Here is an 18,762-nt window from a genome sequence, read left to right on the forward strand (position 1 = left end):
GCCTCAAGATAAAATATCAATTGATACAGAAAAGATGAGTTAAGATTTCAATCCAGAGGCTAGTGTCTGCCTAAGAGAGAACAAAACGAGCCTGTCATCTGTTCTCAGCCCATCATGTTTCCCATGTGTCCTTATACATTTTAATGATTAAAGAATGAAATAATGATTAGTGTGAATCTTGAATTTACATGAACTAATCCAGGGAAAGCAACCTCAGGAGGCATGGCATAGGTATTTTGTTCCAGAGAGCATTTTGAAAAATACCACCAAAGAAAAAGAAGATTGTATAGCAATTTTTTTCTTTTCTCCAGCCAGTTACTGTATTTTCATGTTATAATGAAATCAGATCTCATTTATGGTAGTGGGACCCTTTATATATATGTAGGTAAGGTAGCATGGTGTTAAAGGCCATTTCATATTTATCAAAATGATATCAAATCTACTGTTCCAAAATGATCTGGTTGCTTTGCACATTTAAACGTAAATGTTTAACATTTTCAATTTAGAGTGAGTCTCAGAAATTTCTGGATCCCATTATCAGAAATTAATATTAGTGCTATATTTCAATAAAATAAGTACAAATTAGGAGATTTTAGTTTGATCTTAGATTTTTTTTTTAACCTGGGAGATATGAAAAGAACTTGTATATGGTATAGCAAACATTTTTCAGCCTTGAATCAGAAAAAAACATTGCAGCAACCACAGGGAGAATTCATTATATTTTTAGGAATGTGTTTTTCCTTCTTTTCTTTGACGTGATTTGTATGATGTTGTTGAGTCTGGACTTTTTATAATGCTGGTCTCTCAATTAACTGAGATGAGAACTGATTTAGTAACGGTAAGCACCGTTGCCAAAGACCTGCTGGCAACAGCAATTTTCTCAGGCATTTCTATTTCCTGGGGTGGTAACTGTTACAAAAGAAGCTTTTTCAGACCAGGTTTGGACTGTGAGTTCAAGATGGAGAGCATCTCCTATAATTGCCTGTCTTGGCCTGGTATAGAGTGACTTTCTTTCAGAAGTTTGAGGTGGAAGATCCAGCTGGTTATGCTGAAAGTACTGTTGAGTGGATTCTAATTCCTTGGGAGGTCTTTCGAGTGCTTTTTCCTATAATAGTCCATTTCAGTGAATGAATAGATATTAGGCATTTGGCCCATTCTAGAATTCTAAAAGTTGGAAGGGTCCTTCAGTTACCTTTTTTTCTCATAGGAAAAACAAAATGTGACTGGGTTGAGTATTGAATAATGTTCTTTATGTTCTTATGCCTCTACTGGAAACAAGTGGGATTTTTCATTAGTTTGTTCACATTAGTATGTTAAGGCTTTCGGACACTCAGTACTAGTAATTCTGAAACAGAATCACAAAAGAATAATACTGCACAGTATCTTGGGGATGGGGGAAAAAGCTTGGTGCAATTTTCATATAGAGGATTTTACAATGTTCTACCCCCCCCCCGAAATTAACATTTAAGGGAAAGCCAAGTTTTCTTGCTAGCCAGATACATTGCAGGATTTTTGGGTAATTTTGTCCTTATTTTGGCAATTCCAATCGAAAGCTTGTTTTTCTTCTCCCTCTAATTTCATCTTTCAAGCTCTATACTACATAATGTTTTTTTAAAAGTAAAGGTTGTTTTCAGAAGTAAAAGCAGTCTCTCTTCTGTAGCTCAATAGTGGCATACCAGCCAGCTGGAGACAACAGTCACACCTTTGATGTCACAGCGATGTTCAAGTCTATTGGGATCTTCCTTGGAATCTTCAGTGGATCTTTTGCAATGGGTGCTGCTACTGGAGTGGTGACAGCTTTAATATCCTTTTGTTATATTTATCTTTTCTTGTTAACATAATATAGTAGTTGAATGCTGTATTCCGTTGTTTTTCCTAGTTCTATGATTAGAATTATGTTAGAATTATTAATCTTATAACTAAGTACTTGGTTTGAAAACATTAAGCAACAGTCTTTGCCAATAAATAAATAAAAGAACTGTATTGTTCTGCATAGGGTTTGGTGCCCTAAAACTTTCACTGCAAGTGTATAATTAGAGATGATATCTCTCTGAGGGTGAATTTTATAGTTGTAGATTAAATAGCTGTAAAGGTAGACATATTCCAAAGAGCCTCTGGGTGTTCTGTGTTGCTGGTCAGCCTGGCAGTCTTTTGCTCTTTGTTTAATAGGACAAATAGGAAATGTACAACAGCGACGCCGAATGAACAAAATGTGTTTCCTTGGTTAGGATATGTAAGAGTTCATCTCAGCTCTCCCGATTTTAAACTTTGTGCTCTAGAGCCCTGGACGGGAAGCCCAAAGGACCTGAGTTGTAGTCCTGGTACTACCACTTAGTCAAGTTATTCTTGTGTTCATGCAAAGGCCATTTTATCCCGGACTTCACCACCATGCAATATATCCATGTCATAAAACTGCACTTGTGCATCCTGAATCTATAAAAACAAATTTTATTTTTATTTATTTATTTGTTTTTTTGAGACGGAGTCTCACTCTTTCGCCCAGGCTGGAGTGCAATGGCACGATCTCGGCTCACTGCAACCTCCGCCTCCCGAGTTCAAGCGATTCCCCCGCCTCAGCCTCCCAAGTAGCTGGGATTACAGGTGCGCAACACCACACCCAGCAAGTTTTTTTATATTTTTAGTAGAGATGGGGTTTCATCATGTCGGCCAGGCTGATCTCGAACTCCTGACGTCAAGTGATCCACCCACCTCGGCCTCCCAAAGTGCTGGGATTACAGGCATGAGCCACCGTGCCCGGCCTAAAAACATGTTTTAAACCCCCCACCCAAAACAAAAAGCCAGAAGGCATGTCTGGATCACCTGCTACATGTGCTGTGCTCTGTGTATCAAAGCTAAAGAAGACAAACATGACCTCTGCCTCCCTGGTGCTTTCGATATAGTGGCAGACACAAACATGCTAGAAGCTTTGACACTTCACCTCTTTGGATCTCAGTGTAGGAAATTGGAGGGTGGGGACGGTAGGAAAGAGGAGTGGGACTAGATGATGTCTAAAGAGTTTCCAGCTCTGGCCTGGTGCAGTGGCTCGTGCCTGTAATCCTAGCACTTTGGGAGGCCATGGCGGGCGGATCACAAGGTCGGGAGATCGAGACCATCCTGGCCAACACGGTGAAACCCCGTCTCTACTAAAAATTCAAAAAATTAGCCGGGCATGGTGGTGGGCGCCTGTAGTCCCAGCTACTCGGGAGGCTGAAGCGGGAGAATGGCATGAACCCAGGAGGCGGAGCTTGCAGTGAGCCGAGATGGTGCCACTGCACTCCAGCCTGGGCGACAGTGCGAGACTCCGTCTCAAAAAAACAAAACAAAACAAAAAAGTTTCCAGCTCTAAAACTTCTATGATACTTGTATAAAACAGATACGTTATTCTTTGTCAAGGACTTCTTAGTTTGGTATACTTCAGCCTTGTGCTGGAAGAGGCTTCTTTTATGGCTTTTTATAAGTGAACTGAGGCATAAAGCAGCAGTAAAAAGAGTTCTGAAGGTGATGCCAAGAGTGATAGTATCTCTTCCCCATTACAAGTTCCTTGAGGGTAGAAAGTATATCTTGTTAATCATTTTGTTGTAGTGCCTAGTTGTAGAAATGACTCTAGATTCTAGCCTGAGATTGGTCGTAACTTGGCACAGGCCCTTCCACTGTCAGCTAACAAATACTTGTTAAACTAGTATAAAGCAGTGAAGTGCCTCAATTTCTTCATCATGGAATGAATGCTCTATATCATAGAAGTGGTAGAGGATCAAATTCGTGTAAAATCTCTTGGAAATTATGTATTTTTATAAATGTAAATTGCTACAATTATGGAAGCTGTCTAGCTTTGGGTCTCAGATTAATAGAGGTGGCATGTTATAGATCTGATCTGTTACTCCCGTCTCTATCTATCCTTTACTGCATGGTTTCTGGCAAGGTGTGTGATACCCGTGAAACAATTGGAGTGGCTAAGCCGTAAGGCTTCCTCACTGAAGGGAAGGCAGCTGACTCCTCAGTAAGATGCTCATTTTAAAAGTCTCCCTATTCTGGTGGTACCTTATTCTGAGATTTCTGTGTTAGAGAAGCTAGAGAACCTTTCTTTCATGGTTGCCTTGCTTAAACTGTTATTTTTTCTAGTCACACTTTTGTGTTACAAGATCTCATTACTAGCCTTAACAGTCTTACGTGACAAAGTTCACCAAATTACGGGAGTTCCAGTTGTTGGAGACAGGCCTGTTCTTCTTGATGTCCTGGAGTACCTTCCTCTTGGCTGAAGCATGGGGCTTCACAGGTAGGTGACTTGCTCCCTTTGATTGTCAACCCTTAAAAGGAGTGACTTTGCCAGTCAATTTTGCTCCAAGTGGATCAGCTCCGTTAGTATTTGAACATACTTATTGTGGTTGGGATTTAGGTTGTTGCTTTAGAACATAAAAAAAAATTTTCAGTGGAAGTGGTTCCTCTTAACAAAGTAAGTCACAAATGAGAATTTCCAGACAAAGCCTATAATCTACTGTGAAGAAAGAACCTCAGTATAAAAGGTGGGAACCATCCTTTTATGTGAACTTGGAATTTGTTGTCTTTATAGGTGTAGTTGCAGTATTGTTTTGTGGCATCACACAAGCACATTATACGTATAATAATTTGTCCACGGAGTCTCAGCATAGAACTAAACAGGTAAGAGGAACTTTATAGTTTGTGAATAGGCTTTTCCTTCTTTCAGCAAAATAGAAGTCTTTTTTACTAAAAAAAAAAAATAGTCTTTGATCTGTTCAAGATGCTATCTACTCATTTTGGCTCCTCTTCCTTTGACTCTAAAAGTAGGTGGGATTGGCAAAATGAAGAATGACAGCATTTAGGGTGGAAATAGATCAGCAGAATAGCCAGAGACTGTTACTATTGTGGCTTCAATAACCAGTGAAGTAGCTTCCCTTTTTCTCAGTGTTTTCCCAATTTAATGGCTTTTAAGGGGAATGTTTTGGAAGCTCACTCTGGTTTTACTTGAACTACTGCTGTGTGACGTAGATAAGGTTAACTTCTGATCTGACCAGACCTACTAAGAGATGACATAAAGAAAATTAACTTCTGATATTACTAGACCTTCTAAGACATGACATAGGTAAGATTAGCTTCTGATCTGATTAGACCTACTAAGAGAAGATAAACTTCCTTCAGTCCGCTCAGGTGCTGCAAAGCTACTATGTTTCCAGGAATGTCAGGGGACTAGTCAGTGGTCTGGTTTTATTTGGTACTGAATGATCAGTTGTGCAGGGTATCTGAAGGGAATTATAAAGGAGATAGGAATACAATTTTTCCAGTCTTAGGAGGTATGTGGGACAAATACATGAAAAAAGTGTAATGTCTGGAATAGAAATAGGTGCATACTTGATTATGGCTATAGTGAGAAACAGAAGGTTTAAATTTTGCCAAATGACAAGAAGGTTGTGGGATTCGCCTGAAAAGGAGTGGTGCTAAAAGCAGGAGCAACAGTATTTCTTCTTCCGGCTAGAGCCACAAATCAAGTTTATGACCTATGCTTTTCCCCAGCCCCTCAAAAGAGATTAGGCTTTTTCCCCCAAGTGTATACATTAGGGCTACAAATCCTTTTTACAAATTAATTCAGTGCAATAAGTAAAGAGAAGAAAATCAGCTGGCAGGGGGCGGTGGGGGAGGGGAGTCAGCATTTTTCCAGGTCGTGGGAAGGGAATAAAAAACAAGAACAGGCCGGGCGCTGTGGCTCACGCCTGTAATCCCAGCATTTTGGGAGGCCAAAGCGGGCGGATCACCCGAGGTCAGAAGTTCGAGACCAGCCTGGCCAACATGGTGAAACCCCGTCTCTACTAAAAATACAAAAATTAGCCGGATGTAGTGGCTTGCGCCTGTAGTCCCAGCTACTCAGGAGGCTGAGGTAGAAGAATCGCTTGAACCCGGAAGGCGGAGGTTGCAGTGAGCTGAGATCGTGCCACTGCACTCCAGCCTGGATGACAGAGCGAGACTCTGTCTCAAGAACAAACAAACAAACAACAAAAAACTAGAACAGGGTAAGAGCTTCCAGTGTTGTTGGTGATATGATATGAAGCTTATGTACATTTAAGAAATATGAGGAATAGGAATCCTAGATTATGTACTTCAGATTATATGTCATAGAAGACATCAGAGAAGTAGGGGAAATGGTTTGAGGCTTGAGGATCTGGAAAGTATCCTAGAAGAAACAGTACCCTTAGAAGGATGGGGAAGATTTAGGAAGGCCTAGGGGAGGCAGTACAGATAAAGGCAGGAATAAAAAGAAGGCAGTAAAGTGTAGAGCAGAGGGTGGCGGACTCCAGCCCTCCGGCCACATCCGGCCCTTGCCAGTGAGCTAAGCATGGTTTTCTTTCCATCCATTTTTAATTGGTTGGCAAAAGATCAAAAGAAGAATATGTTGTGACCCATGACAGTTATATGAAATTCACATTTCCATGTCCACCAATAAAATTTTCTTGGCACACAGCCACACCCATTTTTTAAAATATATAGTCTATGGCTGCTTTTGTGCTTCACTGGCAGAGTGAAGTAGTTGTGACAGAGACTTCTTGGCCTGCAAATCCTCTCATGTTTACTCTCTGGCCATTCATGGGAAAGTTTGCCGATCCCTATGTTGCAAAGTAAAGCTGGGACTCTGGAGTCACTGTATTGTTTTAAATCCTGGTTCTACTACTTGCTGGCTGTGTGACCAGGAGGAAGTTCCATAACTTCTCTGTGCTTCAGTTTTGCCATCTTTGAAAATGGAGATAATAATAATACCTACCTCACTGAGTTTTTGTGGGATTAAAACGAGATAATGCATATGAAGTCCTTAGTATAGTATCAGACACACGGTAAAAACTGAAAAAGGTATAGCTGTTATCATTAGTATAAATAAGTAGTAATAATAGCATATTAAATCATTTAAAGAAAAATAAATATACGCTTACTTATTTTAATTTTTATTCTCATTTTTGGGTAATAAGGCAACCCTGGTTTAAAGAGATTAACTAATTTGCCCAAAGCCACACAGCCAGCAAAGGGGAAGACAGGGCTCAAGCCTAAGCATTTTCATTCTTAAGCCCATGTTCTTAACCACTATTCTGTTATGTGTCAGAGGGCTCATTGTAGATAACTCTGGTGGCCAGAGGGACACGAGATTATGAAGGGCCTTAACTTCATTCAGCAAGTATCATATACCATTGCCAAGGCTATGATGTGAATGGGATGGGGCAGGCGGGCAGCAGGGTTTAGTTCCCCCCACAGATAGTTCTGCTATCCTACAGATCGATCTCTTCCACAATGTGGAAGCCCCTATCTGTAGGACGCTTACTCCCTATACGAGAGGAAGACCCACGCAAAAAGTGAAGTCACAGGGCAAGCTGGGAGTACGAGAGTTCTCACGAAGCACTCTATGCTAGGATCAGAAAGTTGAAATGAATCTTATAGCTTGCAAGAGGAAAGTATCTTGAAACTATCAGTTTTAGAGATTCATTGGTTTGGGGGAGCTGGAGGATGAGGGATGGTTAGAGGTCCTTTCTCATCATTATGGGTAGGAAGTGATGAAAGTTTGACTAAGGCAGTAGCAGGGACACAGGAACATTAAAAAAAACTGACAGTTTGGAGGAAGAGGAGAGGAATAATTGAAGATGGGGCTTTGAAGAAGGGAAGCTGTTAGGGGAAATGAGGGGGCAACATTCCTGGCTTTTTCTGCAGGACTAGAAATGTCGTCTCCACATTTGCTCCCTTCTGAACCACATATTTTGTGTGTATGCATGAAGTTTATATATATGAGTGTCTGTTTTAATATCTTAGTAATACTCATGCTTTCAAATTATGTAACTTTATTTGCTGGACTAATCTTTTACAATTTCGTTTCAGTTGTTTGAGCTTCTCAATTTCTTGGCAGAGAATTTCATCTTCTCCTACATGGGGCTGACACTGTTCACCTTCCAGAACCATGTCTTTAACCCAACATTTGTAGTAGGAGCATTTGTATCCTTTATTATGTGTTTTATTTTGAAAATATTTTTAATTGAGATTTTCATGTGGGTTTTGAGTATGTGGTTCATAAGAATACATTTAAATATATACAGTTTTCCTCTGAGTAAAACAAATAAGGATTCCAGCTCTTTTTTCTAGTCTATTTATTTTATTATATTCTATTTCAATTTGTGGTTATTGCACAAATAATGTTGACAGATTAAAATGACAGACAAGTGTCCCACTGTTCTGCCAACCCCAAAAGATAAGTGTTTTCCCTTTATTACTACAGGGAAGGAGAGGTTGGATACTGGGGAGCAGTTAGCAGTCTATGCCACAGGGCAGAAGGCGAAAGATAAGGAAACGTTGAATGAGGCCACTTTCTTTCTCTTTCTCTCCCTCCCCCAACCCCTCTCTCTCCCTCTCTCTTTCTCTCATATATATACAAAGAGTCTTATAAAATAAAAACCCCAACCTGGGCAATGTAGCAAGACCCCATCTTTACAAACAAAATTTTAAAAACTAGCCAGGTATGGTGGTTCATGCCTGTAGTCTAAGCTACTTGGGAGGGTAAGGTGGAAGGATCCCTTGAGCCTAGGAGTTTGAGGCTGCAGTGAGCTGTGATTGGGTCACTGCAGTCCAGACTGGGTGACAAAGGGAGACCCTGTCTCAAAAAAAAAAAAACCAAAAAACCAAAAAACAGTTGGAAGGAAGAAACTGAGTATATGAAAGAGAGGAGGCAATAGTGAAAGCCTCTTGAGAAGGCAGGAATGAAATCCAAAGCATGTAGAGAGAAATTTTGCCTTCACTGGAAGGAGAGACAACTCCACCATGACTACAGGAGAGGATAGGGTATGTAGAAATGAAGGCACATTTGTAAGATGGAGCCATCCTCTCTGATGGCTTCTATGTTTATCTGTTAAGTAGGAGGTGAGATCATCTGCTGAGAGTAAGATAGGGAGTTATCTATTGTGTAACAAATTACCTTAAATTTAGCAGCTTAAAACAACAGACAGTTATTATCTCACACAGTTTCTGAGGGTCAGGAATCCTGGAGCAGCTCATCTGGGTGATTCTGGCTCCAGGATCTCTTAAGAGGTCGCAGTTGTGCTCTTGGCTGGGACTGCACCTTCTCAAGACTTGACTAGGGCCAGGGAATCCACTGCAAGCTCACTCAACTCACATCACTGTCAGCAAGAGGCTTCTATTCTTCACGTGGATATCTCCATAGGGCAGCTTACAACATGGCTTCTTCCCCCAAACTGAGTGAGCTGAGAGAGCCCTAAAATGAAAGCCGAAGTGCCTTTTGTAACCTAATCTTTGAAGAGGCATACCAGCGTCACTTCCATAATATTCTGTTGGTTATACAGACCAACCTGGTACAGTGTGGGTGGGGACTACACAAGGGTGTGAATACTAAGAGGCAGGGATGGTTAGGGACTATCTTGGGGGATGGCTTACACAGATCATAGGGATTTTGAGGAAGATGGAGGTTCGTGAAATAGTTGTTGTAGAGAGTGGGAGAATAAGTTGACCAAAGAAACTCAACAGGACTGCTAAGAAGTACTAGGGATCCATTGTGTTTGAGAAATAGGAATTAGCAGTAGAACCAATCTGCCCCATTGAATGAGTTTGTCCAGCAGTACTTACTGTAAGCATGGAAAAAAGAGATAGTTGGCTCCTTCCAGGTTTGGAGTTTTTTCAAGTGGGTGCAATGAAAACAGAAGGACAAGAGATCATAGTGTTATTACATGACTGATGCACTCTAAACACTTCATTTAATGTTTAACATTAAAAGGTGTTATTAACATGATGATAAGAAGGGAAGTGAGGAAAGAAGACATTGTTTAAGGAAAGAATATAGGGATCTTTGGACTGAAGGTCCCAGTGCTATGGAGGAATGATCAGAGTGGGATAGTTGAACACAAAATATGGAAGGAGCAATTGTGGTCAGTGGGAATGTTTGAATAAGGAATTTTTAAAAGAAATATTTTAAAACCTCACATCAGAATGAAGATTCTGCCAAAGAGATTAGTGGAAGTTTTTTTTTTTTTAATTAAAACTCTAGATAGGATCTCTGTTAGAAAGCGAAGTATTACTGAAATACTATTCTGCAGAGCCTTAGTCTGTGAATGAACTTTAGGCAAAAAAGATAAAGTACTGTTAATAAGAGAAGTTCTTAGCTGAAAGATAACCATGAGATCAGTAACTTAATGTCCTGCTAGTCTTGGAGAAAATTTGGAGCAGTAAAGTGGCTCGATCCACTATACTTAGTCTGGAAACAAAGCTAAATATTCTCTGTAGGTTTCTGAGTCTGTTAGGAATTAAAATTCCTCAATACAAAATCCTACCATGAAAATGGCCTCGTAACAGGAGAGAGTTGCTCTATTTCTGGCTATGTTAGTTAGGACATAGGTTGGTTTCATGTGAAAAGACTCAAACTAATCCAGGTTTAAACAACATAGAAATTTCTTTCTTATCTAAAAATCTGAACTGGTATGGCAGTTCTGCTGCATAGGGTCATCAGGGACTGAAGCAATATTGTTGCTAACATCCTTAGGGACTTGCTGTTGTTCTTGTGATCCAACGTGGCTCACCCCTGTCTGCCCGTTGCCTTGAAGGGCTTGACCCAGAATGTGCACACGTCCCTTCCACTTAACATCATTGATTACACCTACTCACAAGGGAGGCTAGGAGTTATATACTTTATCTGGGTGGCTGCATAAAGATGAAAGGGAGGAGTGCCAACTACCAAGGAAGAAAGCAAGAACAGATGTTGGGGAGAACTAGCAGTCACTGCCACGTTGGCCCACATGTTTCGTGGTTACATTTTCTTTTCTTTTTAGGGAATCACTTTTTAAAATAAATGTTTGATTTTAGAATAGTTTTAGGTTTACAGAAAAATTGTGAAGATAATACAGAAAGTTCTCATATGCCCCGCACTCAGTTTCCCCTATTATTAACATATTAGCATGGTACATTTGTCACAGTGAATGAACTAATATTGATATTACTAACTAACGTTTGAACTTTATTCTGATTCCCATAGTTTTTCCCTAATGTCCTTTTTCTATTCCAGGGTCCCATCCAGGATACCACATTACATTTAGTTGTCATGTCCCCTTAGGCTCTGCCTGACTGTGACAGTTTCTCATATGTGTTCATTGTTTTTGGTGACCCTTGACAGTGTTGAGGGGTACTAGCCATGTGTTTTGTAGAATGTCCTGCAGTTGGAACTTGTCTGATATTTTCCCCATGATTAGACTGGAGTTACATGTTCTTTGGGAGGAAGACCACAGAGGTAAAATGCCATTCTCATCACATTATATGAAGGGTATATACTTAATAATGTTGACGATAGTCTTAATCACTTGGTTGAGATAGTGTTTGTCAGATTTATCCATTATAAAGTTACACATTCCCCCCCCTTCCCCCGCCATGTTGTACTGCGTGGAAGGAAGTTGCTATGAGCAAGGATTGAGGAATGGGGAGTTAGGTTCCACCTCCTTGAGGACAGAGTATCAGCAAAATTATTTGGAATTTTTCACACAGGAGATTTATCTATTCTTCCTCATTTATTGTTTTATTCAGTCATTTTTTAATTATTATTACTTTTTTTTTTGAGACAGAATTTCACTCTTGTTGCCCAGACTGGAGTGCAATGGCATGATCTCAGCCTACTGCAACCTCCGCCTCCCGGGTCCAGGCGATTTTCCTGTCTCATCCTCCTGAGTAGCTGAGATTACAGGCATGATCTGAGATTACAGGCATGCGCCACCACGCCCGGCTAATTTTTATATTTTCAGTAGAGGCAGGGTTTCGCCATGTTGGCCACTCTGGTCTTGAACTCCTGACCTCAAGTGATCTGCGCCTCTCAGCCTCCCAAAGTGCTGGAATTACAGGCGTGAGCCACCACACCCAGCCCAGTCATTTATTTATATCAATATGGATTCACTGATATTTATTTTATACTTTGAGTTATAATACAACTTTTTTATTTTCTTGCTGAAACTGTTCCAGCTTGGCCATTGAGAGCTCTTTTGGCAGGCTCTCCTGTGTGCCTTTGATATATCCTCATCATTGTTTTTAATTTTTATCTTCATCATTGTTTTTAATTTTTTTTTTTTGAGTACTTCCTTACTCCCTGGAACTATAAGATGCTTCAGGCTCATCTTGTATCTGTTCTGGCTCAGCCCAAGAATTGGCCATTTCTCCAAGAAGTCCTGGTTCCTTTTATTGGAGAATAGTATTAGAAACCAAAATCTGAGCACTAGGTGTGCTCAGTGTTACTTGGTGTCTTTGCTTCTAGGCCGTCTCAGCTGACAGATTGCTTCTAGGCTCTCTCAGCTGACAGAGCAAGGAGTTAGATATGTATATATCTATATATCCATATATGTAGATATATATACTAACTCATATATACACATATATCTATACATATTTCTGCATATAACCATCTGTATCTCTGTTAAGCTCAATATGGGTTCATACTGATGTCTCCAACTTTAATTCATTACCACATGGATGATTCTGGCCTCCTCCTCTTTCTGAACTGTAAACTCCCATTCTAACAGTAAGAAACCTTGTTGTCACCACTTGCCATCCATTTACCTAATTGTTCAGTTTCAGTATACATGTATAATAGTTTCAGAATTGTTAACCAGTGTTCCCATGGGAAACAGCTTTGTCATGAGCATAGAATGCTTTTGTGCAGTGTCTTCTGTCTTTAGTCTTACAGATTCTTCTGTTTTCCAAAGTTACTTAGACCAACACCATTCCCCCTACCTTGTTTGTTTTGAGACAGGGTCTCGCTCTTGTCACCCAGGCTGGAGTGCAGTGGCACGATCTCAGCTCACTGCAGCCTCCATCTCCTGGGTTCAAGCAATTCTCGTGCCTCAGCCACCAGAGTAGCTGGGATTACAGGTGTACACCACCACACCCGGCTCATTTTTGTATTTTTAATAGAGACAGGTTTTTGCCATGATGGCCAGGCTGGTCTTGAACTCCTGGCCTCAAGCTATCCTCCCGCCCCGGTCTCCCAAAATGCTGGGATTACAAGTGTGAGCCACCATGTCTGGCCTTGTTCTGTTTTTAATCTTAGATTTTCCCTTATATTTTTCTCAGGAAATGGGATGGAGACTGTATCGTGACTCCTGAAATAAAAATTGCCATCATAAAGCAGGAGTCCCATAGACAGCAAACTGGAGAAAAAGATACTAAAATTGGTTTCTAGTTAAAACCAATCTGAATTCACATTAAACTTTCCCTTTGAAGCAAGTTGGAAGTATAAACTTAGTGGAGTACAGTGGGACTGGTAGCCATTTTAGTGCTGTGAGGTGGTGATTCAGCTGCCCTTTTCTTTGTTCTGAGGAAGGAAGGGGAAGTTTTCTCAGTATTACTCTTCTTCCTACCAACACTGACAATGAAAGTGAATTAACCTATTCTATTAATAATCTTAAAAGTATAGTAAAGAAACTGCTTTTAAACGTGTTTCTCTTAATCTAGTAAATTTCCTGCATGTTACACTTGCTCTGTCTGATTTGGTAGCAACTAGCCAAATGTGATTATTTTAATTTGAAGTAATTAAAATGAAATAAATTTTCAGTTCCTTGATCACTCTAGCCACATTTCAGGTGCTCACCAAATTGGACAGTTCAGATATAGAAAATTTCCATCATTGCAGAAAGTTCTGTTGGACAGTGTTATGTTAGACAATGGAACCAAGAGACTGTGTGTTAGAAACTGAGTTCCCTAAAATAGTCTTTCACCATCTTGAGTGTATAGTCTAAATAATATTAATAGTAAAATGAAATGATCCTTAACCTATTAATAATTTTAGGTTGCTATTTTCTTGGGAAGAGCTGCCAATATTTACCCCTTGTCCCTCTTACTTAATTTGGGTAGAAGAAGTAAGATTGGATCAAATTTTCAACACATGATGATGTTTGCTGGTAAGTTGTAACTTTCTTCTCTTGCCCACTTCAAGCAACCATTCACAATGCGTGTGCCAGCTTGATGTAACACTGAGATGTTATGCTGGTCATATAATACTCCTTTATTTTTATATTATTTATTTATTTAGAGACACTGTTTCACTCTGTCGCCCAGGCTGTAGTGCAGTGGCACGATCTTGGCTCACTGCAACCTCTGCCTCCCAGGTTCAAGCAATTCTCGTGCCTCAGCCTCCCAAGTAGCTGGGATTACAAGGCATGCACCAATATGCCTGGCTAATTTTTGTATTTTTAGTAGAGATGGGGTTTCGCCATGTTGGCCAGGCTGGTCACGAACTCCTGACCTCAAGTAATCCACCCACCTTGGCCTTTCAAAGTGCTAGGATTATAGGCATGAGGCACCACGCCTGGCCTATAATACTCCTTTAAACATTGAAGTTGCATCCTTGAATAGAAAAAGAAAATGTATATATATATATATATATATATATATATATATATATATATATATATATATATATATATAGTGTCCCATTCCCTTCTGTGGGAATTTTTCATATTCTGATTCCAAATCCTTGGTTCAGAATTATGTCATACAAAGTGAGAAAGATAAGGATGAAGTCATTTTCAAACAAAAACCAGTAGGTGAATGTATAGCAGTTCTTTTCATAATTGCCAAAACCTGGAAACAACCCACTTGTCTGTCTCTCAGTGGTCAAATAGCTAATCAAACTGTGATACATCCATGCTATGGAATACTACTGTGCACTAAAAAGAACAAACAATTTACCCATACAGCATGGATGAATCTCAGAGGCATTATGCTAAGTGCAAGAAGCCAGTCTTGAAAGGTTACCTGCTGTGTGATTCCCTTTATATGACATTCACAAAAAGACAAAGTCGTAGCGATGGGGAATGCATCAGTGGTTGCCAGGGGTTTGATGGAGTGACAAGAGGTTAGACTAAAAAAGGGTAATACAAAGAAATTTGACAGGGGGAGGGATGATGAAACCATTCTGTGTCTTGATTGTAGTAGTAGTCACACACACCTCTATGAATTTGCCAATATTCATGTGGCTATAGACCAAAAAGAGTGAATTTTACTGTTTGTAAATGAAAAGTGAATTTAAAAAAATTACTGAAACATCAATGCATGTCAGTAAGTAACATACACAAATTCTATTTCTGTTTGTACTTTTTTTTTTTTTCCGAGATGGAGTCTTGCTCTGTCACTCAGGTTGGAGTGCAGTGGTACAATCTCAGCTCACTGTAACCTCTGCCTCCCTGGTTCAAGCAATTCTGCCTCAGCCTCCCAAGTAGCTGGGATTACAGGCATGCGCCATCATGGCTGGCTGATTTTTGTATTTTTAGTAGAGATGGGGTTTCGGCATGTTGGTCAGGCTGGTCTCGAACTCCTGACCTCAGGTGATCTGCCCACCTCGGCCTCCCAAAGTGCTGGGATTACAGGTGTGAGCCACCATGCACAGCCTGGACATATTTAAGTATGTTAATATTTACTGCATATTTGTTCACATGCTTCTAAGTTTTTAGAACGTGCTTTCTTGCTCTGAATTTATGAAGCTTGCATTGGTAATGAGTTATTGAAGAAATACCTTTTCTGTTCCCCTGTAGGCCTTCGTGGTGCAATGGCATTTGCCTTGGCCATTCGAGATACTGCCACTTATGCACGGCAAATGATGTTCAGCACCACGCTTCTGATTGTGTTTTTTACCGTGTGGGTATTTGGTGGTGGCACCACTGCAATGCTGTCATGCTTGCATATCAGGTAAGTACTAACTAGAGACCTCATTTTAAGATTAAATTTTAATTTGGTTTATTTTTCTGCCTGTTTTCAATTTTTAATCTTTGGAGAATCTGTAATGTTTTATTTTTTCCTTTTAAAAAGTATGTAATATATAGTACAGAAAAAGGAAAATATATATGCAAAAGAAAAATTCATTGTTAAGACTTTGAGGGATATCTTTCCAGATCTTTTGCTATACATGATATATATTTTTGACAAAAAGGGGCAACACTGAAGGTACTCTTGTAGCCTGATTTTTAAATGTAATATAGCATGGACATTTACATTGTAAATATATTTACATCATTGCTTTAATGGCTGCATATGTCCTGATTTACTTAATCAAAACCCTGTTGTTGGACTTTTGTATTGTTTCTAGGATTTTGCTATTACCATTACCATTTGAGGATTTTGCTGTTACTATTACCGTTAACGATGTGAACATTCTTAAATGTATACACCACTGTGTACTTGTTTGATTATTTTTTAGAATGCATGTCTAGAAATGAAATTGCTTGCTCAAAAGGATATGTATATATTTAAGGCTTTTGATCAATATCACCAGGTCAGATAAAAAATTTGCCTTCCACCTGCAATGTATGAGACAATGCGGTTTACTCCAACCCTAATCACTACTAGATATTATCATTTTTCTCATCAGCACTGTTTTTAACCTAACAATCCAAAGCCGAGATCGTGAGGTCTTAGTCTTGAATGTGTACCAGTTAATGTATTCAATTTGAAAGCTCCCTTGTATCTCAAGAGTTCTGCATTTGTTTCCATGGATACAGCAGCCTATGCTGCTAAAGCCTTTGTAGATTTGAGTTCTGTGTTTGGCTGAAACTTCATAGACATTAAGAGCTACCAAGCTTCCAGAATACATAGGACTCATTAGAGAAAACAGTATTTCACACTTTATAGATCCTGTCCTCCATTTTTTTAAATTCTATTACACCTTTTTTAAGACTTCTAAAAACCAGCCAGCCCTAAATCACACTTTGAATGTTGTTGTTATTGTCTTAATTTCTCTTTACTATTCAAATCTCTTATAATTTCTGTGCTTTTATTGTGCATAGTATAAAATACACAAAAATAATGTTCTTATAACCTTAATTATTACTTTAGGGAGGACCTGGCATTTATTGAACACTTACTATGTGCTGGGCATTGTGCTAAGTACATTTTACATATTTATCCAAACATGATAACTCCATTTTACAAGGGATGAAATAGAGGCTTAGAAAGGTTCTGAGTTGTTCAAGGTCATCTGGATAATTAAATGGCAGGCAGAGGAGCCTCCAGTCTTTCTTAATTTTTTTAGAAATTAATTTCATCAAATAATGGTCATGGTACATTTTGAAAGGACACAGTTCCTTTCTTTTCTCAAGAGCTTGTAGATGAAGACTTTCCCTCATTGTCCTAAGGATAACAAAATTAAATGTAAGAACAAACCAAACAAAATATCTACGCTTACCATCCCCGCAAAAAGAAAAGACAAAAACGTACCTACTCACACAAAATTTAATCTACATCACTAGCTGTCAAAGCTCTTTGGCCGCATAGTGCCTGTCCTGTAACATAGTTGGTCACTTAATTATAATATTGTCTTATAGTCTTAGGTTACTTCTTATTGCCTTCTTGTTTTATTGGCATTATTCTTGGCCTCTTCGTGAACAGGGGCTGTATTTTAAGCTTTTCTTCCCTCCCCCCAAATTTGTCTAGTACAATTTTAAGGGCACTGCAAAGTCCTGAAAGTTTAAGATTCATGCAGACTTAGACTTGGCTTTGAGTTCTTGCCCCTTCACTGATGAATTCTGTGATCTTTGGCAAGTTCTTTAACCTTTTAAAGCCTCGGTTTCCTCATCTGTAACATGTATGTTATAGTACCTACCTCCTTGGGTTGTTGTAAGGATTCAGTGAGCTAATATCTGTAAAGTTCTTAGCACAGCATTTCAAATTACCTTTTATTCATTCATTCAATAAACATTTACTGAACACCAGCCATGTGCCGGGCACTGTAGGTTACAACTCAGTGGTTCTTTTTTTTTTTTTGAGACAGAGTCTTGCTCTGTCGCTTAGGCTGGAGTGCAGTGGTGCAATCTCAGCTCGTTGCAACCTCCGCCTCCCAGGTTCAAGCAATTCTCCTGCCTCAGCCTCCCAAGTAGCTGGGATTACAGGCATGCACCACCACACCTGGCTAATTTTTGTATTTTTAGTAGATATGGGGTTTCACCATGTTGGCCAGGCTGGTCTCAAACTCCTGGCCTCAAGTGATTCGCCCGCCTCAGCCTCCCAAAGTATTGGGATTACAGGCATGAGCCATCTCACCCAGCCTCAGTGCTTCTTAACTGGGGAGAATTTTGCCCCCCGCCCAAGGGACATTTGGCACTTTCTGGAGACATTTTTGGTTGTCACAACTGGAAGAGGGGGCCTCTGCTGGCATCTAGTGAGTAGAGGCCAAGGATGCTGCTAAACATGCTACAATGCATAGGACAGGCTCCTCACCACCTGCCAACAGAGAATTATCTAGGCCAGAATGTCAGTAATGCTAGGGTTAAGAAATCCTCCTCTAGAGAAGCACAGTGATCAAAATAAGATAGAAAAGGTTCCTCGACTCATAACATCCATACTTTAGTGAGAGAAGACAGACAATAAGCTAGTAACACATAAATGAACCTGATAACTGCAGATGATATTAAATGCTGTGATGGGAATCGGGCAAGGTACTGTGATAGTGACTGGGGATGGGGGTGTTTTTGATACAAGGAGGCCAGGGACGGTTTCTTTGAGAGGTTATGTTTGAGTTCAGTCTTACCTACGTGACTAGATGGTGCCAGTTAAACAGTCATCAGGAAGAAGAGCAGTCTAGGCAGAGGGAAGAGCAAGTTGTACAAATGTCCTGAGGAAGGGACAAACTTGGCCTGTTGAATGAACAGGAAAAAAACTCTCATGGCCGGAGTATAGTGACTGAAGGGTAGATAGGAAGTGAGGTTGGCAAGATCCTATGGAAGCAGGGGTTCTGCACACTTAACTGTCAAGGGC

At 39.9% G+C, this 18,762-nt stretch overlaps 1 protein-coding gene across 11 annotated transcripts in view; it reads left to right on the forward strand.

Moving 5' to 3' along the window:
- The window catches only part of SLC9A6 (solute carrier family 9 member A6), a 73,433-nt gene that overhangs the window by 34,945 nt on the left and 19,726 nt on the right, over positions 1-18,762 (forward strand). For all 11 annotated transcript variants that reach the window (NM_001400909.1, NM_001400910.1, NM_001400911.1 and 8 more), the window contains 6 exons: positions 1,661-1,802; positions 4,168-4,273; positions 4,568-4,656; positions 7,864-7,977; positions 13,805-13,916; positions 15,549-15,702. In NM_001400909.1, coding sequence (NP_001387838.1) covers positions 1,661-1,802; positions 4,168-4,273; positions 4,568-4,656; positions 7,864-7,977; positions 13,805-13,916; positions 15,549-15,702 — 717 coding nt within the window. The remainder of the gene's footprint in view (positions 1-1,660; positions 1,803-4,167; positions 4,274-4,567; positions 4,657-7,863; positions 7,978-13,804; positions 13,917-15,548; positions 15,703-18,762) is intronic.

Source organism: Homo sapiens, chromosome X, assembly GCF_000001405.40.
Source record: "Homo sapiens chromosome X, GRCh38.p14 Primary Assembly".
NCBI classification, from domain to species: Eukaryota; Metazoa; Chordata; class Mammalia; order Primates; family Hominidae; genus Homo; species Homo sapiens.